The sequence below is a fragment of the Homo sapiens genome, chromosome 1, assembly GCF_000001405.40.
Source record: "Homo sapiens chromosome 1, GRCh38.p14 Primary Assembly".
Taxonomy (NCBI): Eukaryota; Metazoa; Chordata; class Mammalia; order Primates; family Hominidae; genus Homo; species Homo sapiens.
The window spans coordinates 226,097,957-226,121,856 of NC_000001.11; the positions used below are offsets into that span (position 1 = coordinate 226,097,957).

The following is a 23,900-nucleotide window of genomic DNA, read 5'->3' on the forward strand; positions in this document are numbered from 1 at the left end:
ACATTGTCAGGGTGAAGTTTAACAGAACTTGATTTTAGAACTAGCTTATAGGGGAATGTGTATTCTGAAAGGTTTAGGGGCCCACAGGGAATTTCCTTGTGAACAATTTGGGAAATATGTAGCCTTCTATTGTTGTGGGAACCTGGCTTACGAATGAGGCTATGACACAGGATTGTGAAACTACCGCTATCTGTTTGGGAACAAAAGGAAGGCAGTTTTTCTGTGACTCAGTTCCCAAACTTAACTTTCCCTTTGGCATAGTGAGTTTGGGGTCCCAAGACTCTGTTTGCTTTCACATATAGGTCACACTTCCGATTATAGCCAATTGGCCAGCACTAGCCCACTGGCCAGCAGCCAGGGTTCTGGAAAGGTAGAAGAGCCCACGGGTACTCAGTGGGCAGTGACTGTCTGTTCAGCCAAGTGCAAGCCAGGTTGGAGAGCAGGTTGGCTCCTGCCTGGACATAGGAAGATGGATGACAAAGGATGCCCAGAAAGGTGTGGGCTCCTTCCCAGTTACCTCCAGCCTCCATCTGCTCTCTGATTCCTAGAGCACAGCTCAGAGAACATCAGTTCCACTTTCCCCCAGCTTACCCAAAATATAGCCCCTACCCATTCTGGCCTCAGCACAACGCTGCCTGATTTCTCTCCACTCTTTCTCCCCTCCCCTCCCCCTGCCCTCCCCATCTCCCCATACCTCCCAGCTCCAACCACACGAGGCTCCCCCTGCTCTGTAATATATACTTTATTTCCTTTACCCCTCCGGGAATGTTCTACCCCTCTCTGCTCACTAGAATCCCACCCATTCTTCCAAATCTAGCTCACTTATCACCTGGTCCATGAAGATTCTTCCCACAGAATATCCTCTGCTTCCTCTCACCTCACAGTCTCCTACAGATGAAATGCCCAGCCCACAGCTCCCCACTGAAGGGGCAGCCCCAGGCAGACCATGTGATCCCATTCCCTATCCCAGCCACAGTGAGGTGGATCCACACGGCCACTCTGTTGCCTGGGCAGTGGCCTATGAGGTGGGGCCTGGTGGGAAGGATGAGATGAGCTAGGTCTATCAAACTCTCTTTAGATAACTTTTTTTTTCTGGAGATAGGGTTTTGCTGTATCACCCAAGTTGGAGTGCTGTAGTGCAGTCAGGGCTCACTGCAGCCTTGAACTCCTGGGCTCAGGCAATCCTACCACTTCAGCCTCCAAAGAAGCTGGAACTATAGGCATGTGCTACCATGCCTGGCTAATTTTTTTAACTTTTTATAGAGACGGCGGGATCTTGCTTATGTTGCCCAGGCTGGTCTGGAACTCCTGGCCTCAAGCAACCTTCCCACCCCAGACTCCCAAAGTGCTGGGATTACAAGTGTAAGCCACTGTGCCAGCCAGCCAGTGTTTTCTTGCTGTGTCCTCAAAGAGAGAAAGGAACTAGTGAGCTCTCTGGGCCTTTCTTATAAGGTCACTAATCCCAGTCATGAGGACTTCACCCTCATCTCATCACTTCTCAAAGGGCCCACCTCATAATACCATCATTTGGGGATTAATCACCTCCTTTGAGAATGAAAGTTAAAAAAAAATTGGGGGTTAAAATTTCCACATACAAGCCAGTCATGGTGGCTCATGCCTATAACCCCAGCACTTTGGGAGGTGAGGTGGGAGGATTGCTTAAGCCCAGGGGTTCCAGACCAGCCTGGGCAACACAGGGAAACCCCATCTCTATAAAAAGTTTTAAAACTAGCCAGCTGTGGTGGCATGCCTGCAGTCCCAGCTACTTGTGAGGCTGAGGTGGGAGGATCACTTGAGTCTGAGAGGTTGAGGCTACAATAAGCCATGACCACATCACTGCACTCCAGCTTGGGTGACAGAGTGAAACCCCATCTCAAAGGAAAAAAAAATTTTTTCAACATATGGATTTGTAGGGGTGGCACAAACATTTAGACCATAGCACATCCAACTCTGTAATTCCTACCTCTGGGCTTTTTATGTAAGAGACAGACACACATAACTGGATTCAAGTTGACTTCATTTCACATAAGCAGTGTCTTCTTAAAGAACAACTTGTCAAATACAATTTTCATTCACTGACTTCCACACTGAGGGAGGATACTGGGTCCTAAACAATGTTTTCCTAAAATATTCTGTGCAAACCAGATTTTAACCAATGTAGTCATTGTTCTCCACTGACTTACTTTATGAATATTAATGATGACTTTTATATTCAGCGTTCACTTCGTGGTGACACCTAGCTAGTGTTTAGTTTTTCAAAAATTTCACTCCTTGGACCATTGGGTAATAACCAGCAAACAACAGGTAAGAGTCCCAAACTGCTGCTTGAAAGAGAAAAATCCCTTTGGAAGACCACGGTAATAACTACTACTAATGTGTGGGGGTTTTGTTTGTTTTTTGTTTTTGTTTTTGTTTTTGTTTTCAGAGGGAGTCTCGCTCTGTCGCCCAGGCTAGAGTGCAGTGGCACCATTTCGGCTCATTGCAACCTCCACCTCCCGGGTTCAAGCGACCCCAGACTCCCGAGTGGCTGCGATTACAAGCACCCGCCACCGCGCCCGGCTGCACTCTAGCCTGGGCAACAGTGCAAGAGTCCGTCTCAAAAAAAAAAAAAAAAGAGTAATAGACTGTATTTCCCGAAGTATATTCATGGCCTTGGATGTTGTTAACAAGCATTAAGATTTTAAAAGGGCCCGAGGTCAAACCATTTAGGAAGAATGCCTAATTCCCACAGTTAAGGCTCGGTGGGTGGGCGCATGCGCACAGGATCCTCGCCGTCAGGCACCTGCGGAACACACTTGGAAATCGCTTTTTCCGGAGGCCCAATTTCATTTCATTATACACCACACCACACTGTGCTGGGCTGTGGAGGAAGAACGGGAAGCAGTTTTGGTCCAGTCCTCCAGGACCTAGTTTTAGGAAGAGGGTGGCAAGGCAAAAAAAAAAAAGAAAAAAAGAAAAAAGAAAGCACAAATCCAATTACAGTTATGAGTTTATGACAAAGTTTCTATAAATGACGGACCGCATACAGACAGGGCCCCATAAGATTATGATGGAGCTGAAAAATTCCTATGGCCTAGTGATGTCATAGCCTTCTTAAGTCTTAGCGCAACCAATGCATTACTCACGTGTTTATGGTGACGCTGGTGTAAACAAACCTACTGCACTGCCAGTCATATAAAAGTATAGCAGAGGGGTCCCCAACCCGTGGATCAGTACTGGTCCATGGTCTGTTAGGAACCGGGCGGCACAGCAGGAGTTGAGCGGCGGGCCAGCCCCCAAAGAAAGCTTCATCAGTACTTACAGCCACTCCCCAACACTGGTTTTGCTGCCTGAGCTCCGCCTCCTGTCAGATCAGCAGAAGCATTAGATTTTCCTAGAATCGGAAACCTATTGTGAACTGCATATGCCAGGGATCTAGGTTGTGCACTCCTAATGAGAATCTAATGCCTCATCTGTCACTGTCTCCCATCACCCCCAGATGGGATGTCTAGTTGCAGGAAAACAAGCTCAGGGCTCCCACTGATTCTACATTATGGTGAATTGTATAATTACTTCATTATATATTACAATATAATAATAATAGAAATAAAGTGCACAACAAATGTAATGCACTTGAATCATCCTGAAACCATCCCTCCCCCTTACCCCAGTCTGTGGAAAAACTGTCTTCCACGAAACCAGAACCTGCTGTCAAAAAGGTTGGAGACCTCTGGTACAGCACATATAATTATGTACAGTACATAATACTTGATAATGACAACAAATGACGATGTTACTGGCTTATATGTTTACTATGCTATATTTTTTATTGTTATTTTAGAGTATAGACCTTCTACTTATAAAAAGAAAAACACATTAACTGTAAAACAGCCTTGGGCAGGTCCTTCGGGAGGAATCCAGAAGGCATTGTTATCATAGGAGATGCCAGCTCCCTGCATGTTATTGCCCTGGAAGACCTTCCAGTGGGACAAGATGTGGAGGTGGAAGATGGTGATGTTGATGGTCCTGACCCTGTGAAGGCCTAGGCTACTGTGTGTGTTTGTGTTTTAACAAAAGAGTTTAAAAACTAAAAAAAGCCGGGCATGGTGGCTCACACCTATAGTCCCAGCACTTTGGGAGGCTGAGGCGGGCAGACCACCTGAGGTCAGGAGTTCGAGACCAGCCTGACCAACATGATGAAACCCCGTCTCTACTAAAAATACAAAAATTAGCCGGGCAAGGTGACGCACGTCTGTAGTCCCAGCTACTTGGGAGGCTGAGGCAGGAGAATCACTTGAACCCGGGAGGTGGAAGTTACAGTGAGCCGAGATTGCACCGCCGCACTCCAGCCTGGGTGACAAGAGTGAGACTGTCTCAAAAAACAAAACAAAACAAAACAAAAAAAAGTAGTACATTATAAAAATAGAAAAAAGTGTATAGAATAAGGATATAAAGAAAGAAAATGTTTTTATACAGCTCTACAATGTATTTGTGTTTGACGCTAAGTGTTATTACAAGAGTCCAAAAGTTTAAATTTTTTTTAAGGGTCTCGCTGTGTCACCCAGGCTGGAGTGCAGTGGAGCAATCTTGGCTCACTGCAACCTCTGCCTCCCAGGTTCAAGTGATCCCCTAACCTCAGCCTCTCAAGTAGCTGAGACTATAGGTGTGCTTCACCACCCCAGCTAATTTTTGTATCTTTAGTAAAGGTGGGTTTTGTTTGTTTTGAGACAGAGTCTTGCTGTGTCACCCTGTCACCCGGGCACAATCACTGCTCACTGCAGCCTCAACCTCGTGGGCTCAATCGATCCTCTTGCCTCAGCCACCTGAGTAGCTGGGACTACAGGTGTACACCATCATGACCAGCTAATTTTGTTATTTTTTGTAGAGATGGGGTTTCACTATGTTGCTCAGGCTGATCTCAACCTCCTGGGCTCAAGTGATCTGCCTGCCTCGGCCTCCCAAAATGCTAGGATTACAGGCATGAGCCACTGTGCCTTGCCTAAGAAAATTTTAAGTCATTTTAGTGTACACTGTGTACAGTGTTATAACATCTACAGTAGTGTACAGTAATGTCCCAGGCCTTCACAGGCACTCACCACTCACTCACTGAGTCTCCCAGAGCAGCCTCCAGCCTTGCAAGCTCCATTCATGGTAAGTGCCCTATACAAGTGTACCATTTCGTTTTGCATTGTTGTTGTTGTTGTTGTTGTTTTAGAGGTGGCGTCTCACTATGTTGTCCAGACTGGAAAGCAGTTGCTATTTACAGGCACGATCATCACCCACTACAGCTTCAAACTCCTGAACTCAATCAGTTCTCCCACCTGTCTCCCTAATAGCTGGAACTACAGGCATAGGCCACTGCACCCGGCCGGGGATACCATTTTTTTCTCTTTTTTTAAATTTTTTTTTTTTTTTTTTTGAGACGGAGTCTCGCTCTGTCGCCCAGGCTGGAGTGCAATGGCGTGATCTCAGCTCACTGCAAGCTCCACCTCCCGGGTTCACGCCATTCTCCTGCCTCAGCCTCCTGAGTAGCTGGGACTACAGGAGCCTGCCACCTTGCCCGGCTAATTTTTTGTATTTTCAGTAGAGACGGGGTTTCACCGTGTTAGTCAGGATGGTCTCGATCTCCTGACCTCTTGATCCACCCGCCTTGGCCTCCCAAAGTGCTGGGATTACAGGCGTGAGCCACAGCGCCCGGCCTCTTTTTTAAATTTTTAATTTAATTTTTTTTGAGATGAAGTCTCGCTCTGCCACCCAGGCTGGAGTGCAGTGGTGTGATCTCAGCTCACTGCAACCTCCGTCTCCTGGGTTCAAGCAATTCTCCTGCCTCAGCCTCCTGAGTAGCTGGGACTACAGGTGCATGCCACCACACCCAGCTAATTTTTTTATTTTTAATAGAGATGGAGTTTCACCATGTTGGGCAGGCTGGTCTCGAACTCCTGACCTCAAGTGACTCACCCGCCTTGGCTTCCCAAAGTGCTGGGTTTACAGGTGTGAGCCATCATGCCTGGCCCATATTTTTTCTCTTTTATACCATATTTTCACCATACTTTTTCTCTGTTTAGATACACAAATACCTTTGTGTTACCAGTATTCAGCACAGTAACATGCTGTACAGGTTTGTAGCCCAGGAGCAATAGCCTACGCCGTGTAGCCCAGGTGTGTAGTAGCCTCTACCATCTAGGATTGTGTCAAGGACACTCTAGGATGTTAGCACAGAGACAAAATCACCTAATGACACATTTCTCAGAATATATCCCTGTTATTAAGTGATGCATGACTGTACTCAACACTGCTAGAAAGGCGAGTCCAGAGCAGGACTCATCAGAATGCAGCTGTCTTAGCTGAGAGAACTCAGTAACCTGCACAGCCCCACAAACCATGGATAAGAGGGAGGCTAGGGCCCGAGTTCACCTGTGTCCCAAGGAGAGACAGACTCTGTGGGGGTTGGCAAGAAGAGGAACTGGTCCTGGATGTGGGAAGGAAAGGGAGCCAGTGCTGCCCAGGCCCTGGAGCATACAAGAAGCAAAGGAGATGGCATATGCCTTCACTGGGAGCTGTTTTCCTTCAGTCTTATAATAAAAAGAAGAGTTCTGATGGTGGGATAGGTAAGGGGATAACTGCAAATGGGGAACACCGATTCAGAGGCAAATCCAAAGTACCAAATTGAAGCAATCAGAAGAGAACTTCCACAAGTTCCCACCACTGCCTCACGCACCGCCCTGCATCTGGGCCCAAGAATTCTGCTCTCCCTGTTGTACCTATGAGTGAACCCTCAACCCCCCGGCCAAGACTCCAGCTGTCCCTGTGCATGCCACCCAGCTCCCTCCCACTCAGGACTTCCGCTCCAGCCACTCTGGCCTCTCCGAGTCATCCCCATCAGCAGGACGCATGCTGCTATTCCTCCCAGCTATACAAGAGCCCTTCCTGTCACACCTCCTACTCCAGTCACCCCTCCCTTCTTCCTTTACAGCAAAACTCTGCTGATGAGTCCATTCCTGCGGATGAGTCCATTTCTGCTCTCTCCTGGACCTATTCCCATCAGGCTTGGCCCTCGCTGTTCCTCCAAAACTGCTCTTGCCAGCGTCACCATTGCTGAACTTGGTGTTCATCCCTTGTCCTCATTACTTGATCTTGCAGCAACATCCATCTGACCAGATGGCTCCCTTCATCCTGGTAACGCCCTCTTCCAGGAGCTTCCAGGACAACACACGTACCTGGTTTTCCTCCTACCTCTCAGACTGTTCCATCCCAGGCTTTTCTGCTGGTTCTTCCCCATATCACTGGCTTCTGCGTAAAGCAGTGCCCCAGAGTGCAATCTGTGAACTCCTCTTCTCTAGCCATACTCCCTCCCAAGATTGACGCTATCTAACAGAAATTTAATGTGAACCACATGTGTAATGCAAAATCATCTAGTAGCCACTTTTTTTTTTTTTTTTTTTTGAGATGGGGTCCCACTCTGTTGCCCAAGCTGGAGTACAGTGGCATGATCTTGGCTTGTTGCAACTCTCACCTCCCAGGTTCAAGCGATTTTCCACCTCAGCCTCCTGAGTAGCTGGCACTGCAGGCATGTACCACCACGCCCAGCTAATTTTTGTATTTCAGTAGAGACAGGGTTTCACCATGTTGGCCAGGCTGATCTCGAACTCCTGGACTCAAGCCATCCACCTGCCTTGGCCTCCCAAAGTGCTGGGATTACAGGCATGAGCCACCACACCCAGCCGCATTTTTTAAAAAGTAATAAGAAGGCCAGGCTCGGTGGGCTCACGCCTGTAATCCCAGCACTTTGGGAGGCCAAGGCAGGGGGATGGCTTGAGTCCAGGAGTTCGAGACCAGCCCGGCCAACATGGTGAAAGCCTGTCTCTACTAAAAATACAAAAAATTAGCTGGGCGTGGTGGTGAGTGCCTGTAATCCCAGCTACTCGAGAGGCTGAGGCACAAGAATCACTTGAACCCAGGAGGCAGAGGTTGCAGTGAGCCGAGATCACGCCACTGCACTCCAGCCTGGGCGACAGAGTGAGACTGTCTCAAAAAAAAAAAAAAAAGTAATAAGAAACGGTAAAATTATTATTATTATTTTGAGATGGAGTCTCACTCTGTCACCTAGGATGGAGTGCAGTGGCATGATCTCGGCTCACTGCAACCTCTGCCTCCCGAGTTCAAGTGATTCTCCTTCCTCAGCCTCCCAAGTGGCTGGGACTACAGGGATGCGCCACCACGCCCAGCTAATTTTTGTATTTTTAGTAGAGACGGGGTTTCAGCATGTTGGCCAGGCTGGTCTGAAACTCCTGACCTCAGGTGATCCACTGCCTTAGCCTCCCAAAGTTCTGGGATTACAGGCATAAGCCACCATGCCCAGCCAGTGAAATTAATTTTAATAACATTTTATTTATCCCAATGTAGCCAATTAGTATCATTTAAACATGTAATCAATAAAAAACTATTAATGAAATATTTTAGTTTTTGTACTAAATATTTGAAATCCATTGTATATTTTTCACTTAAAGCTCACCTCAATTTGGATGCTAAATTTTCATCAGAAAATCTTGATAGGTATTTAGATTTCATAAACTTGGCTGCTGAAAAAGTAGATTTATATACTTGAGTTGTTCCAAACATACTTAAAACATTTTCAATAACTGAATCAGATATCGGTTTTCAAATTTAAGTTAATTAAAATTAAAAATTTAGTTCTAGGCGGCCGGGCGTGGTGGCTCACGCTTGTAATCCCAGCACTTTGGGAGGCGAGGCAGGCAGATCACAAGGTCAAGAGATTGAGACCATCCTGGTGAACATGGTGAAACCCCGTCTCTACTAAAAATACAAAAAAAAAAAATTAGCCAGGAGTGGTGGTGGGCGCCCATAGTCCCAGCTACTCGGGAGGTTAAGGCAGAAGAATTGCTTGAACCCTGGAGGCAGAGGTTGCAGTGAGCCGAGATCGCGCCACTGCACTCCAGCCTGGCGACAGAGCAAGACTCCGCTGCAAAAAAAAAAAAAAATTTAGTTCTAGGCTGGACATGGTGGCTTATTCCTGTAATCCCAGTGTTTTGGGAGGCCGAGGTGGGAGGTTTGCTTGAAGCCAGGAGTTCAAGACCAGCCTAGGCAACAGAGGGAGATCTCATCTCCACTAAAAAATAATAATAATAATAATAATAGTAATAAAATAATTAGTCACAGTGGTGTGTGCCCCTATTCCCAGTTGTTCAGGAGGCTGAGGTGGGTGGATTGCTTGAGCCCAGGAATTCCAGGCTACTGTGATTGTGCCACTGCACTCCAGCCTGGGCAACAGACCAAGACCCAATCTCTTAAAAAAAAGTTAGTTCTTCAGTCACATAATTTGCACTAATTTCTTTTTTTCTTTTTCTTTTTCTTTTTGAGACAAAGTCTCAGTCTGTCGCCCAGGCTGGTCTCGACCTCCTGACCTCGTGATCCACCTGCCTCGGCCTCCCAAAGTGCTAGGATTACAGGCGTGAGCCACTATGCCCAGCCATAATTTGCACTAATTTCATGTGTTGGAGAGCCACATGTGGCTAGTGGCTGCTGTATTGCACAGTACAGAGCTAGACAGTCTCAGAAAACTGTGGCTTTAAATACCAGCAGGTCTGTGCTGGTGGCTCCCCAGTATTTATCCCCAGCCTGCACATTTCCTCTGCATCAGACCTGCCTAACCAGTGTCTACTTAACCCTCCACACAGATGTATCTACTAGGTGTCTGAAACCTAACCCGTTCAAAACTGGGCTTCTAAGAGTCCCACCCCCACCCACCAAACTAGCAAGGCCAGTTTTCTCCATCTTGATTAGTGACAACCCTTTCTTCCTGTTGCTCAGGCCAAAACCTTGAGATTTTCCCTGATTCCTCTCTCTTCTTTCTCTCTCCCACTTCATATTTGGCCTGCTGATAAATCCTGTCAGCCTTTAAAATATTTCCAGAATCCCACCCCTTCTCTTCACTTTCTCAGCCACCATCCTAGGCAGCCTCTAGGGTAATCATCTCTCCTGGGATTACCCCAAGAGCCTGCTGACTGGTCTCTTGTTTCTGCCCTTACTTCTACAATCTCCCCACCCCGCAGGGTGCTGCTTTCAAAGTCAGAGGTGTCCCTCTTCTGCTCAGAAAGAACCCTGCAGTGGCTCTCATCTGTAAGCCCAAGTCCTTACAATGGCCCACTGTCTCTTTCCAAGATCTGATCCCCCTGTCTTACCTCTCCAGCCCTAGCTTCTTATTTTCATTTTCAAAGACAGGGTCTAACTCTGCTGTCCAGGCTGGAGTACAGTGGCATGCTCATAGCTCACTGCAGCTCAAACTCCTGGGTTTGAGCCATTCTCCCACCTCAGCCTCTGAAGTGGCTGGAAATACAGGCACCACCATCATGCCTAATTTTCTTTTCTTCTTTCTTTCTTTTTTTTTTTTGAGGCAGAGTCTCACTCTGTTGCCCAGGCTGGAGTGCAGTGGCACAATCTCAGCTCACTCAACCTCCACTTCCCAGGTTCAAGCGATTCTCATGCCTCAGCCTCCTACATAGCTGGGATTACAGGCACGTGCCACCACACCCAGCTAATTTTTGTGTGTATATATATATTTTATGAGATGTAGTTCCACTCTTGTTGCCCAGGCTGGAGTGCAATTGCATGATCTCGGTTCATTGCAAACTTCGCATCCCGGGTTCAAGCGATTCTCCTGCCTCAGCCTCCTGAGTAGCTGGGATTACAGATGTGTGCCACCATGCCCAGCTAATTTTTGTATTTTTAGTAGAGACAGGGTTTCACCATGTTGGCCCGGCTGGTCTCAAACTCTTGATCTCAGGGGATCCACCCGCCTCAGCTCCCAAAGTGCTGGGACCCCCCACCGGCCTAATTTTTGTATTTTTAGTAAAGCTAAAAATACATGTTGGCCAGGCTGGTCTCCAACTCCTGGCCTCAAGTGATCCACCAGCTTCAGCCTCCCAAAGTGCTACCATTACAGGCGTAAGCCACCCTACCGGCCAGCCTGGCTAATTTTCCAAAAAAAAAAAAAAAAAAAGTATAGAGATGGGGAGGGGATGGGCTGGCTTGCGATGTTGCCCAAGCTGGTCCTGAACCCCTGGCCTCAAGTGATCCTTCCACCTTGGCCTCTCAAAGTGCTGGGATTAAAAGGCATGAGCCACTGAGGTAGGCCCCTGGCTTCCACTAGGCACCTCCTCTTCACTCTGCTCCATCCACTCTGGCCTCCCTGCTCTTCCGGGAACACAGCAGGCCGCCGGATATCTGTGTGGGTGGCTTGCTTGGTTCCCTCTGGCCTTTACTCAAAAATCACTGTAGCCTTCTCAGTGAGGCCTTTCCAGGCACCCTATCCAACACTTAACTTCTCCTACACACACATTTCATATCCTTCTTCCCTGTGGTTATTTTTTCCCCTTAGCTTGATCACTATTTAACATATTTTACATTTTACTTTGGTTGCTCTGTCTCTCCCATTACAATACAAACTCTAGGAGCGCAGGGATTTTTGTGTTTGTTTTTGCTCCGTATCCCCAGTTCCTAGAATAGTGCCTAGAATAGGACCTATTAGGCGCTCAATAACTATTTTAAATGAATGAATGGATGGCTTCCAGGTAGGGAGAACAGTTGGAACAAATGCAGCTGTTCCCTTCAGAAGCCTGAAGCCTGAGCTGGGGCGTCCGGACCGCTCCATGGGGTATGCGGTCTCCATGGGGTATGCGGTCGAGCTGGGCACTGACACTTCCCTACTTTGGAACTGTGCTATGGGCAAGATGGGAGCAGGCGCTGAATCCGTGGCGCATGGGGAAAGCGGCGGTCGGAGTGGGGCTTCCTGGCCTGTCACCTCCTCCTGAGCTGCTGCGAGGAGAGGCGCGTTGGCCTCCTGGGCCACAGCTGCCTCCCTGCCCAGGGAATCCCGGGAGATGCGAATATCGAAGAACTCTGAAAATCAAATCGCATTTCTAAACGCCAGGTGGAGATTTGTTTTGAGGTTCCTAAATGACAGATGTCCCGGCGGAGGAGCGCAGAGGAGGGCGGGCCAGTTGCGTCGGGAGAGGAGGAGCCGCAGGCTGGGAGGCGCGCGCGTCACTCGCGGGCAGGGGCTGGCTGGCCGGGCGCGCGGCCGGGCGGGGGCTGCTCCGGGGAGCGCGGGGGCGGGGGCGTGCGCGTGGCCGGGCGTGCGCGCGACCACCCGGGGCGTCCAGGCTGCCCGCGCGCGCCCAAGCCCTGCTTAAAAAAGGGAGCCCCGAGCCCGCGCCCTCCGCCCGGTGCGTCCCGCGGGACGTTCCAAGAGCAGTGCGGAGAGCGCGTGGGCCGCGGCGGAGGCCGGGCTGGGGGGCGGGTTCGCGGCAGTTCCCCCCGGCTCCCCGGCAGTTCCCCCCGGCTCCTCTGCCGCCTGGCCCGGGAGCTGCCCTTTATTTATTTATTTCAGTGGGCAAAGCGGGGTCATTTGTGTTGAGGACGCAAATCTTTCCAGGAAGTTTGTGCCTATTAATATTTCAGTTCCTGGCAGCCGCCTCGAGTGCGGGGCGGGGGAGTTCAGTGCTGCGGGGGAGGGAGGCGCCTGCAGCTGCCCTGGCCCACTGGCCTCGGCTGGCCGCTTGCGGCGAGGCCGAGGGGCAGCCCCTGGGCCTCCTGGGCGCCCCCCGACCCCCGCCACCACTGGGGAAGGCAGGGCCGGCGCGGACCCCCAGAGGCGCGCGGATCCCCAGAGGCAAGCCGACCTGCTTCCGGAGCCACGCGCGGGGCGAAAGAGGCGGCCCCGGATGCTGCGACCAGAGCGAGGGCGCCAGCTCGGGGCTTCCCGGAGCGGGGGCGGAGGAGGCAGCAGCCCGGAGAGGCTGCTTAGCCACCAGATGTCCGCGGGTGGCCCGCGCGGCGCGGGCGGAGGAAGGAAGGGCGGCTCTAGGGGCGTCCTGGCTAGTCGTCCGCGACCGCGCTCTCGGGTAGCCGGGGATGGCGGGGCCTGGGGCCCGGGGCCTTGCTGACCTTGCTCCAGCCACACAGCCGGAGGGAGCTGCAGCAGAAACTTGCCATTTTAAAGCTCGGCTACCCCTCACCACCACCTGGCAAGATTGTCATCATCTCCAATCTACAGAAGCGGAAGCCGGAGCTAAATAGCCTGCTAGAGGTCACGGTGCTGCTGCCCAACGGCGGGAGCCCGGATTTCTGACATGTCTTGCAAGAAAGAGTCCCTTGGAAGCAAATGCAATTATATTCTTCTGTGGTATCAACCAACAGAATCCCCCCACTAAGGGGAACTCAAGATACCGATGGAACTCTAGGCTGGAGCGGCGGGAGTTTGCCAGATACTCGTAATCTTCGTTCCCCAGCATAAGTGCCTGCTCACTCTTTCCAGCCAGTCACATCTGGAACACCCATCATTTTCCCAAAGAAACTATTTTTAACACCCCCAGGTGCATATTTAGATAAAGGCATTTGAAGCAGTTGACATAGCCACCTCTGGAGTGTGGGCTCCTGACAAGGACACTTCAAATGCTAACTGTCCCCAGGGGATAAATTTAAGTCGTCAAGCACACAGGGACATCACACTGTCTCTTCCTCAGTATTCTAACGTCATTGGTAGACCCTATGGCCGCCTTCCTGCGCAGGATTATCAGCCCACTGCTCAGGGACTCTGTCCAGCTCTGCATGGAAGTCACTGGCACCAGGTCATTAGCACCAGGGCCAAGACTTGGAAACCTCTGGGCAAAGGGAGGGTTTGTCTCATAAACCTTCTCACTCCAGGGTCCTCCTCCCCTTTGTAGCTCCTTCCCCATTCTACCTTTCACTGGCACACCTGTTCCTTTCACTGGCACACCTGTTCCTCCCAGGTGGCCAATGGGCCCGTAGGGAGGATATGACAGATTCTGGCATTTTAAGGTAGGACTCGCTGAGTCCCCAAGGGAGTGTGAGCAGAGCTGGCTATAGCATCTGCCTCCCTGAGATGCCAGGCTTGGTGATGCAGTGGAGGAATCTCAGCTCCCATGGCCGCAGGCAGCAGGAGACGCGTTTTGGAGGCTTAAGTCCTTGAGCATGGCTGGTCCTATGAGCCTTCCCAGCTCGGAGCCATACCCAAAGTGCCCTGCTTCTGTTTGCATTCACGCCCACGAGGGTTCAGTGAGGGAGGTCCATGAAATAAATGCCCTCTCCTCGGCTTGGGTGGGCCAGGCCCTGCCAGCTGCCTTCACTTTTGGCTGCAGAAAGCCTGCCAGGCTGCAGTGTGCAAAGGCCTGGAACAATGACTGGTAGCATCAGCTATTTTAATGCAGAGTTAGGCACACAATCCTTGCTAAATATAAATACAAAGGAAAACCCCAAAGTAGCTAAGCCTATTTTAATACCTTTTATTTTTCTCATTCCTGGTTCTTTTGTCTTCTCCTTGCTACTTGAGAGCTGCGGTTCACACAGGGCCCACCCTGAGTGTTGTCAGGGCTCCCACCCATGTCCTGGTCACACAGCCCAATCTTGATCATTGGCAGAAATGGAGTCAGAGGAAAGAGATCCAACAACTATTTCTTTGTTGTTTTAATGCAATTTACATTAAATCAAAAGTGAATGATGGCACCACTTCTGAGACTTGGTTGCTGAAAAGGAGCCTAGGGTTAGTGTAGCCTCTTCCCATCCCTCCCCTCTTCCAACTCTACACAGTCCCTCCATGGGGAGAAGGGATGTTTGCAAATCACCAACCTAAGAAATGGCCAGCAAATGAAGGATGCCGTCCTCCCAGTGGGAGATAACAAATCCAAATGCCACTGGGCTCCTGGAGGTGTCACCACTTACCTTTCAGAAAAGAAACAAGAGCAACAGACACCTCTGGGGATGTCTACCTAAACTGGAACCAGTGACCCCTCTTTTCTCTAGGAAATGATCTTCACCCATGTGGGGTCAAGTAGCTTCCACGTACTATGTTATTACAATTTTTCTCTGCCCACTCCACCTCCTCCACAGATGATAGGATCAGGGGTGGAACCTGGCCAGTCAGAGCCTCGTCCCTGGAAATTGGAACAGGGAGAAAGAGAGGGAAGGAGAGAGACAAAGTCTAACATCTGGGACCCCTCAGTGAGTTTCTGTTGACTCTCTTTTTTTCCAGAGTGTGGGTCACACTTTCCTTTTTCTTTGCATGTCTTGCAATTTTTTGTTGACAAATGGACATTTTAGATAATATGGCCAAACACGGTGGCTCACACCTGTAATTTCAGCACTTTGGGAGGTCGAGGTGGTAGGATCCTTTGAGGCCAGGAGTTTGAGACCAGCCTGGGCAACACAGTGAGACCCTGTCTCTACAAAAAATACAAAAATTAGCTGGTGTGCCTGTAGTCCCAGCTACTCAGAGGCCGAGAAGTTGCAGTGAGCCAAGATTGTGCCACTGCACTCCAGCCTTGGTGATAGAGCAAGACCATGTCTCAGTAAATAAATAAATAAAATAAGGCCGGGCACAGTGGTTCATGCCTGTAATGCCAGCACTTTGGGAGGCTGAGGCAGGCAGATCACCTGAGGTCAGAAGTTCAAGACCAGCCTAGCCAACATGGTGAAACCCCATCTCTACAAAACTACAAAAATTAGCCAGGCATGGTGGTGCATGCCTGTAATCCCAGCTACTCGGGAGGTGGAGGCCGGAGAATCCCTTGAACCCGGGAGGTGGAGGTTGCAGTGAGCCGAGATCGCACCATTGCACTCCAGCCTGGGCAACAGAGTGAGACTCCATCTCAAAAAAAATTAAAATAACATAAAAATAAATAAGTAAATAAATAAAATATATTGTAACAACTGTGGATTCCAGTTCCCTTTCCCAGCATTGTTGTTGCCGTCTTGTTTGTTCATTTAGTGGCTGGCTTGGACTGATTCTTTGGAGTCTGCCTTCTCCTCACAGTGTGCAGCTGCTGCTATTTCTGCTGCTTTTCTTTTTTAAGAAAACAAGTTTTATTTTTATAATTAGAACGTTCTAATGAAAATATTATTGTAATATTAGTAACCTTTATTCCGGGCGCTGATCTGCTCAGTAGTTTTCCTGCTTGTTTTTATTTATTTATTTTATTTTTTAAGACAGAGTCTCACTCTGTCACCTGTCACCCAGGCTGGAGTGCAGTGGTGCAATCTTGGCTCACTACAAACTCCGCCTCCATCCCCACCCCACTGGGCTCAAGCGATTCTCCCACCTCAGCCTCCCGAGTAGCTGGGATTACAGGTGTGCACCACCATACCCAACTAATTTTTGTGTTTTTAGTAGAGACAGGGTTTCGCCGTGTTGCCCAGGTTGTTCTCCAACTCCTGACCTTAAATGATCCATCTGCCTCAGCCTCCCAAAGTGCGGGGATTACAGGTGTGAGCCACTGCGCCCAGCCTGCTTGTTTTTATTTTTAAGCCTGACTTTCTTTTTATTTATTTATTTATTTTTTTTTTTTTTTTATTGATCATTCTTGGGTGTTTCTCGCAGAGGGGGATTTGGCAGGGTCACAGGACAATAGTGGAGGGAAGGTCAGCAGATAAACAAGTGAACAAAGGTCTCTGGTTTTCCTAGGCAGAGGACCCTGCGGCCTTCCGCAGTGTTTGTGTCCCTGGGTACTTGAGATTAGGGAGTGGTGATGACTCTTAACGAGCATGCTGCCTTCAAGCATCTGTTTAACAAAGCACATCTTGCACCGCCCTTAATCCATTTAACCCTGAGTGGACACAGCACATGTTTCAGAGAGCACAGGGTTGGGGGTAAGGTCACAGATCAACAGGATCCCAAGGCAGAAGAATTTTTCTTAGTACAGAACAAAATGAAAAGTCTCCCATGTCTACCTCTTTCTACACAGACACAGCAACCATCCGATTTCTCAATCTTTTCCCCACCTTTGCCCCCTTTCTGTTCCACAAAACTGCCATTGTCATCATGGCCCGTTCTCAATGAGCTGTTGGGTACACCTCCCAGACGGGGTGGTGGCCGGGCAGAGGGGCTCCTCACTTCCCAGTAGGGGCGGCCGGGCAGAGGCGCCCCTCACCTCCCGGATGGGGCGGCTGGCCGGGCGGGGGGCTGACCCCCCCACCTCCCTCCCGGACGGGGCGGCTGGCCGGGTGGGGGGCTGACCCCCCCCACCTCCCTCCCGGTCGGGGCGGCCGGCCAGGCAGAGGGGCTCCTCACTTCCCAGTAGGGCGGCCGGGCAGAGGCGCCCCTCACCTCCCGGAGGGGGCGGCTGGCCAGGCAGGGGGCTGACCCCCCCACCTCCCTCCCGGACGGGGTGGCTGCCGGGCGGAGACGCTCCTCACTTCCCAGACGGGGTGGCTGCCGGGCGGAGGGGCTCCCCACTTCTCAGACGGGGCGGCTGCTGGGCGGAGGGGCTCCTCACTTCTCAGACAGGGCGGTTGCCAGGCAGAGGGTCTCCTCACTTCTCAGACGGGGCGGCCGGGCAGAGACGCTCCTCACATCCCGGACGGGGCGACAGGGCAGAGGCGCTCCCCACATCTCAGACAATGGGCGGCCGGGCAGAGACGCTCCTCACTTCCTACATGGGATGGCGGCCGGGAAGAGGCGCTCCTCACTTCCTAGATGAGATGGCGGCTGGGCAGAGACGCTCCTCACTTTCCAGACTGGGCAGCCAGGCAGAGGGGCTCCTCACATCCCAGACGATGGGCGGCCAGGCAGAGACGCTCCTCACTTCCCAGACGGGGTGGCGGCCAGGCAGAGGCTGCAATCTCAGCACTTTGGGAGGCCAAGGCAGGCGGCTGGGAGGTAGATGTTGTAGCGAGCCGAGATCACGCCACTGCACTCCAGCCTGGGCACCATTGAGCACTGAGTGAAGGAGACTCCGTCTGCAATCCTGGCACCTCGGGAGGCCGAGGCTGGCGGATCACTCGCGGTTAGGAGCTGGAGACCAGCCCGGCCAACACAGCGAAACCCAAAAAATACGAAAACCAGTCAGGCGTGGCGGTGCGCGCCTGAGGCACTCGGCAGGCTGAGGCAGGAGAATCAGGCAGGGAGGTTGCAGTGAGCCGAGATGGCAGCAGTACAGTCCAGCTTCGGCTCGGCATCAGAGGGAGACAGTGGAAAGAGGGGAGGGGGAGGGGGAGGTGGAGGGAGAGGGAGAGTTAAGCCTGACTTTCTAAGGGTTGTCCCTGGAAGCCAGTGATTGGTCAGAGGTTGTGAGAAACAATTTGAGCCAGTAAAGCTTCCACTGTTTGCTAATGGATCTGTGTGTAGATTGTGAGGAACATATTCAAAGTCCAGACAACTTTACAAGTCTGATGCTGCTTTTGCTTTCCCCCAGGCCCTTTCCTGTCTCCTCTGCAGTGTGCCAGTCACGATGTTCTCCTCCGCATGTGTGGGTAGCTAGGGCCCTCTCTGGTCTCTCTTGAGTGTGATGCAAACTTTCGCATGCCTGCAGCCTTCCAGACCACTGAGGGTGTGAGGCCGCTTACCCACTAATCCCTCCTTCTCAGAGGAGGGTCAGGGTGAGCCGTGTTCGGGCCCTTAGTGCCACAGTCAAGAAGGATGCCTGGGCCGGGCGCAGTGGCTCATGCCCGTAATCCCAGAACTTTGGGATGCTGAGGCAGGTGGATCACCTGAGGTCAGCAGTTCTAGACCAGCCTGGCCAACATGGTGAAACCCCGTCTCTACTAAAAATACAAAAATTAGCCAGATGTGGTGGCGGGTGCCTGTAATCCCAGCTACTCGGGAGGCTGAGGCAGGAGAATCGCTTGAACCCAGGAGGCAGAGGATGCGGTGAGCTGAGATTGTGCCATTGCACTCCAGCTGGGCGACAAGAGTGAAACTCCGTCTCAAAACAAAAAGGATGCCAGGACCTCAGGCACAGCCCAGAAGCACATGCTCCCCTGCTGAGGTGCTGCAGGGAAAATGGGGGTCTTTCTGCTCCCATAGAAAGATGACTTCTGCTCCCAGGCCAATTCTACATGGCCTTCTCCCTTCTCTTCCCCTTCACAAATATATTCAACGGTCCACAGGCAGGGGCCTTGGGGAAAGAGATAACAAAGACAAGGTTCTCAATGACAAGAAACTCGGGCTAGCCTTAAGTGATTAACTCTCTCTTTTTTTTTTTTCTTTTTTTTTTTTTTGAAATGGAGTCAGTCAGGCTGGAGTGCAGTGGTGCAATCTTGGCTCACTACAACCTCCATCTGCTGGCTTCAAGCCATTCTCCTGCCTCAGCTTCCCGACTAGCTTGGATTACAGGTGCCTGCCACCACGCCTGACTAATTTTTGTTTTTTAGTAGAGACGAAGTTTCACCATGTTGGTCAGGCTGGTCTTGAACTCCTGACCTCAAGCCTTCCACCTGCCTCGGCTTCCCAAAGGGCTGGGATTACAGGCATGAGCTACCACGCCCGGCCCGTGATTAACTTTTAGACAATATCCTGAGTGCCCCAACCAGTGTTAACTGGGAGCTAAGGGGAGAGTGCTGGTAGACAGATACTGTGCTCTGAGGGATGAGCACCCCAGCTTCCCCCATGCACCCGCAATTCAGGATGTTGTGAGTGATGTTCTTTCCTTTGCATGCCTCACTTTTTTTGTTTGTTTGTTTGTTTGAGACAGGTTCTCTCTATGTCGCCCAGGCTGGAGTGTGCAGTGGTTATTCATGGGTATGATCATAGCGCACTGCAGCCTCCATCTCCTGGGCTTAGGCGATCCTCCCACCTCAGCCTCCCGAGTAGCTGGGACTATAGATGTATACCACTGCACACGGCTGTATGCCTCAGTTTTTATGAATATTTTATTTATTTACTTGTTGGGTAACATTCATGTAGCTCAACATTCTGAAGGGGCCAAAGGGTATTGAGGGACAACTCCCCTCCCTTCCCCAGCCCCCAGCAACCTGGCTTCTGTGCAGCCCTGTGTTCCAGCTGTAAGGTTTAGGCTCCCAGGTATGCAGCAAACATTTCCCTGCCAGTGGGATAATGAAGCTGCCTGTCAGGAGCACCTCCAGCCCCAGCCCTGGAGATGAGACTGCCTTATAGCGCTCTAGCTTGATGGGCGCAGATGACAGTGACAGCCAAGGCCAGAGGAGGGCAGGACCAGAGTGGGTCTAGGGACGTGGGAACCTGGGAGAGGCTAGGAGCAAAGCAAGGAGTGTCCTGGCTTGGGCCTCATCCTCCAGAGTCCCAAAGGCCTGCTCACTCAGCCCTCAGGGTGACCAGAGACCTCAAGTATTGCAAAGTCTCCACAGCGGGTCTCTCTGACTGCCCTCACCACGCAACTCCTGAGGGCTGGACTCTATCCTGTAGGAGGTGGGGTGGGGTCCACTCTTTCCCTTTGGATGGGGGCAAATGGCAATTGTATTCCAGATGACAAAAGGGCTGTTGATATTTGGGGGAACCAGGTCGGGAAGGGGAGTTGGGGGAGGATTCTCCTGATGATCTGTTCCAGCAGAGGCATGTCACTTCTTGAGGGACAGTGGCAGCTGTCAGCTAAAAGTTTTATTAAAGAAGCCCCTGACACTAACAGAGAGGTGATGAAGAATGATGGTGATGAATGTGGGTGCGGTGAACTGTTCGTTTTCTCATGGTGCCATCCCCACATGAGGCTCCTGCCTCAGGCGGCCTCTGTCTAGATTCATCTAGGCAATTAAGATTGCTGTGGGTGGCGGGGGTGGTGGTGTCTGTCTCCCCTCCCACCTTGGCCTGCTGCTCATGGTGTGGAGGAGGGGAGGAGATGGGAAGAGGGAGGAAGGGAAGGGTGAAGGAGGGGGAATCAGCTTTTTCTTAATGAGCAAATTCTTGAGGCTGGGGACCTTGACTGCTGGGGACCCTGGGCTACTTTGATGGGTATGAGGTGGGGTACAGGGTAGGGAGGATCCTTAGACCTTCCTGGTGTGAATGGGCATTTTCTGGAGCTGGGAGTCTATTTCTAAGGGAGGAGAGGAAGGGTCTGGATGAAGCATAGCCAGTTCCCCCGGGCTGACGCCTGACTGCAGGGAGGTGTGCACCCCCTTCCAGACATGTCCAGAGCAGGCCCTCATAGGATGGGGGAAGCCCTGCGAGGAGGTCACACAGGGCAAGTTGGAGAGCCAGAACAAGGATGGGGCCTCATGACTCAAGAGGCTTAGAGAGCTCTTTCTCCCTTTGTGGTGTATCTGTCCCTGTCCCAGACAGGAGTCCTCAGTGACCCTCAATATTCAATCAGCCAAGCCACAGGCAGCAGGCCCTTGGACATCACTGGACAACAGGGAGGAGCCCCAGGTGGGTGAAGGAAGGTGGAAGAGAGACAAAGGGCCTTCCAGGAGGAGGGTCTGGCCTATCTCCACAGTCCCCAGAGCCCCAGGCTATCTTTCTGCTGTGGCCAGAGGACGTTCCACTGGAACCCTTCACAACCTACAGCCAAGACTCACAGTGGAGGTCTCTGGGCAAGTCCCCCTTGGTCCCATTTTATAGATAAGGAAACAGTCTCAGAGAGGCTGGGTGACTTGCCTTGCTTAGGTCACACAGCTAGTAAATGGTGAAGTCAGAGTGTCCCCCCCAACCCCCCAATATGAGGAAGTAAGAATCACTCTCCGTGAACCCCAGAAAAATATGTCTTTATGTTTCCGCCCTCACCCCTACTGGAGAGCCTGATTCGAAACAAGTGTCAGGAACTGTGGGTAGGACAAATGAATGAAGAATAAACAGAAAAGGATGGCGGCAATCCACTGCACGAGGTGCATTCTGCCTGTGCACAGAGGATGAAGCCTGTCTCTCTTGAATGGGCTGTAAGCCCTCTCAAGCTGCAGGGATGCGGTGGTGGGAAGGACAGCCCCAGAGCTGTAATGAAGGCAGCTGGGTGGTTCCCACCTGAAGCCCCAGGTCTGGCTCCCCTCCCCATAGGCTTCTCAGGATTCCACCCTCACTGTGTGCCAGGGCAGGCCTGAGCATCACCCTAGGGGAGGCCAGGGCTGCTGGGGAGGGGCAGCTTTCCAACCTCAATGGGAATGAAGAGGGCACCATCAAACCAGCACTGGCTTCCGCCTCTTCTGCAGGTGAGAGGGTGGAAAGCCTGTGCTCGTTCCACCAGCTTTTTGGATTTAATGAAAAATTCACAACGTTCAGGAGATTGATTTTTGGGCTTTTTGTTTGTTTTGTTTTGTTTTTTGTTGTTTGCTTTTTTGAGACAGGGTCTCACTCTGTCACCCAGGCTGGAGTACAGTGGTGCGACCTTGGCTCACTGCAACCTCTGCTCACTGGTTCAAGTGATTCTCTTGCCTCAGCCTCCCAAGTAGCTGGGACTACAGGCGTACATCACTACGCCTGGCTAATGTTTGTATTTTTAGTAGAGACGGGGTTTCACTGTCTTGGCCAGGCTGGTCTCGAACTCCTGGCCTCAAATGATCCACCCACCTCTGCCTCTCAAAGTGCTGGGATTACAAGTGTGAGCCACTGTGCCCCGCCAACGTTCAGGAGATTTAAAAGCAGCAAGTGAGCAATGGTATTTACTAATGGGTCCCTCCCCAGAACCAAGGGGCCCCAGGAAGGCCGAGGCTTGAGTGGCCAGGGTGAGCTGAGGCTGGTGGGCCAAGATATGGCCCAGAATTCCCGTGCAGTTCTGGAGCCTGAGTGGCCATTTCCTCCATCCCTCTGTGTCCAGAGAGATGCCCTACTGAGTTTGGCAATGCTGTGGTTGAGCGAGGGTGGGAGTCCCCAAGCCAGGTGGGACAAGCAAAGTCAGAATCTTCACAAGGAGAACCCACTCCTGGTAGAGCTACAGCCTGGGAGGCCGTGCCTGGCACACCTTGGGTGCCTGGCCAGTGAGGGTGCTCCCTGCATGGCCTCCCGGTCTCTTCCAGTCGAGCCTAGTGGAGCAAAGGATCTCCCCTAGGAGATGGGGCACAAGAGAGGAAACAGGTAGGAAGGGGCCCAGCTTCAGCATCCTCTGGCCAAGGAAGGGTAGAATCCTCCTGGACTCCCTGCTGGAGTGGATGCAGAGGGAATGGGAGGGAACCAGGCTCAGAGGCCCGTTAGAGAACGTCCTAGGCGCCCATCAGGTGAGCCGGCAGCATGCTCCAGCTGAACCACAGGCCCATCCTTGGCCCTGGAACCATTTTTACCACGGAAGTACTTATTTTACAGTAAGACTCATTTCCAAATCCGCTGGCCTGTTACAAATATTCATTCACAGGTGATTTGCCTACAATTTACTCAATGAGAAAAATCCCGTTGCAAATAATTTCGTAAGTGGAGGAATCCCTTTTCAAGCAGATTATCAGCTTCTGCTTGTTGGGATGGATCTCCTTTTACCGAGCACGCTTAAAGGAAGGGCTGTACATCATTTTCCAGGCTCGTATTGAGCAGTGACAAGATCACAGCTTTGGTGGGTGGTGCACTTGGAAATGAGGGGCCCTGCCTCCCACCTTCCTTTAAAATACAGTCGTAAGGCAGTTAGTAGGACGTCGTCAGTGCCCTTGCTAAGAGAGTTCCCACGCGGGGCCTCAGGGGCGGCGGGGCCGCCTTCCCCCACGGCCAGCCTAGGGAGCTTGGGAATCGCGACCCAATGCACAGACGGGCAGTGCTCGCTCTCTCTTCACAGGCGGGAAACCGAGGCACAACGACGGCTAGCACCTGCCCCGAGGTCACACGGCGACCCAACTCGGTTCTCTGGCCGGCGGCCTTGTTGGTTCCGGTCTGGGAAAGGGACCCCGCAATCGTCCCTCCGGCCGCCAGCAGCGCCAGGCCCCCCCCCGCAGGGGCCGGGGGTGGCGGGCCCGCCGCTGACCTCCCCCGCCCGGCCTGGGTCCCGCGCTCCGCGGGGTGACAGCAGCCGGGCGCCCTCTGGTGGCCGCCGCGCGCAGCAGGCGGGAGCGCGGAGCGTCGGGGCCTGCAACCGGGCGGGGATGACGGGGGCCGGGGACCCTGCACTTTGGGACGACCTGGCCTGGTGGCCGCGCTTCCTTCGCTACAAAAAGGAAGCACATCTTGGAAACACCGAACTTCTGTGACACCAGTAGTTACACCTGGCCTCTGAATCGGGCGAGCAGCGCCCTCGCGC

At 51.7% G+C, this 23,900-nt stretch overlaps 8 annotated features.

Annotated features, from left to right (window-relative positions):
• Window positions 10,309-10,503: a silencer, noted in NCBI's record as "fragment chr1:226295966-226296160 (GRCh37/hg19 assembly coordinates)". NCBI's record gives its function as "represses an EF-1alpha promoter that drives an FKBP-Casp9 reporter gene in an ReSE screen in phorbol 12-myristate 13-acetate-treated (for megakaryocytic differentiation) K562 erythroleukemia cells {active_cell/tissue: K562(+PMA)}" and the evidence as "EXISTENCE:reporter gene assay evidence [ECO:0000049][PMID:32094911]".
• Window positions 12,051-12,150: a silencer, noted in NCBI's record as "silent region_1873". NCBI's record gives its function as "represses an Ori minimal core promoter by ATAC-STARR-seq in GM12878 lymphoblastoid cells {active_cell/tissue: GM12878}" and the evidence as "EXISTENCE:reporter gene assay evidence [ECO:0000049][PMID:35858748]".
• Window positions 12,231-12,690: a silencer, noted in NCBI's record as "silent region_1874". NCBI's record gives its function as "represses an Ori minimal core promoter by ATAC-STARR-seq in GM12878 lymphoblastoid cells {active_cell/tissue: GM12878}" and the evidence as "EXISTENCE:reporter gene assay evidence [ECO:0000049][PMID:35858748]".
• Window positions 13,071-13,120: a silencer, noted in NCBI's record as "silent region_1875". NCBI's record gives its function as "represses an Ori minimal core promoter by ATAC-STARR-seq in GM12878 lymphoblastoid cells {active_cell/tissue: GM12878}" and the evidence as "EXISTENCE:reporter gene assay evidence [ECO:0000049][PMID:35858748]".
• Window positions 13,539-14,046: an enhancer, noted in NCBI's record as "H3K4me1 hESC enhancer chr1:226299196-226299703 (GRCh37/hg19 assembly coordinates)". NCBI's record gives its function as "activates a minimal SCP1, AML or CMV promoter by ChIP-STARR-seq in primed H9 embryonic stem cells {active_cell/tissue: H9 hESC(primed)}" and the evidence as "EXISTENCE:reporter gene assay evidence [ECO:0000049][PMID:30033119]".
• Window positions 17,124-17,928: an enhancer, noted in NCBI's record as "H3K27ac hESC enhancer chr1:226302781-226303585 (GRCh37/hg19 assembly coordinates)". NCBI's record gives its function as "activates a minimal SCP1, AML or CMV promoter by ChIP-STARR-seq in primed H9 embryonic stem cells {active_cell/tissue: H9 hESC(primed)}" and the evidence as "EXISTENCE:reporter gene assay evidence [ECO:0000049][PMID:30033119]".
• Window positions 23,428-23,487: a silencer, noted in NCBI's record as "silent region_1876". NCBI's record gives its function as "represses an Ori minimal core promoter by ATAC-STARR-seq in GM12878 lymphoblastoid cells {active_cell/tissue: GM12878}" and the evidence as "EXISTENCE:reporter gene assay evidence [ECO:0000049][PMID:35858748]".
• Window positions 23,498-23,737: a silencer, noted in NCBI's record as "silent region_1877". NCBI's record gives its function as "represses an Ori minimal core promoter by ATAC-STARR-seq in GM12878 lymphoblastoid cells {active_cell/tissue: GM12878}" and the evidence as "EXISTENCE:reporter gene assay evidence [ECO:0000049][PMID:35858748]".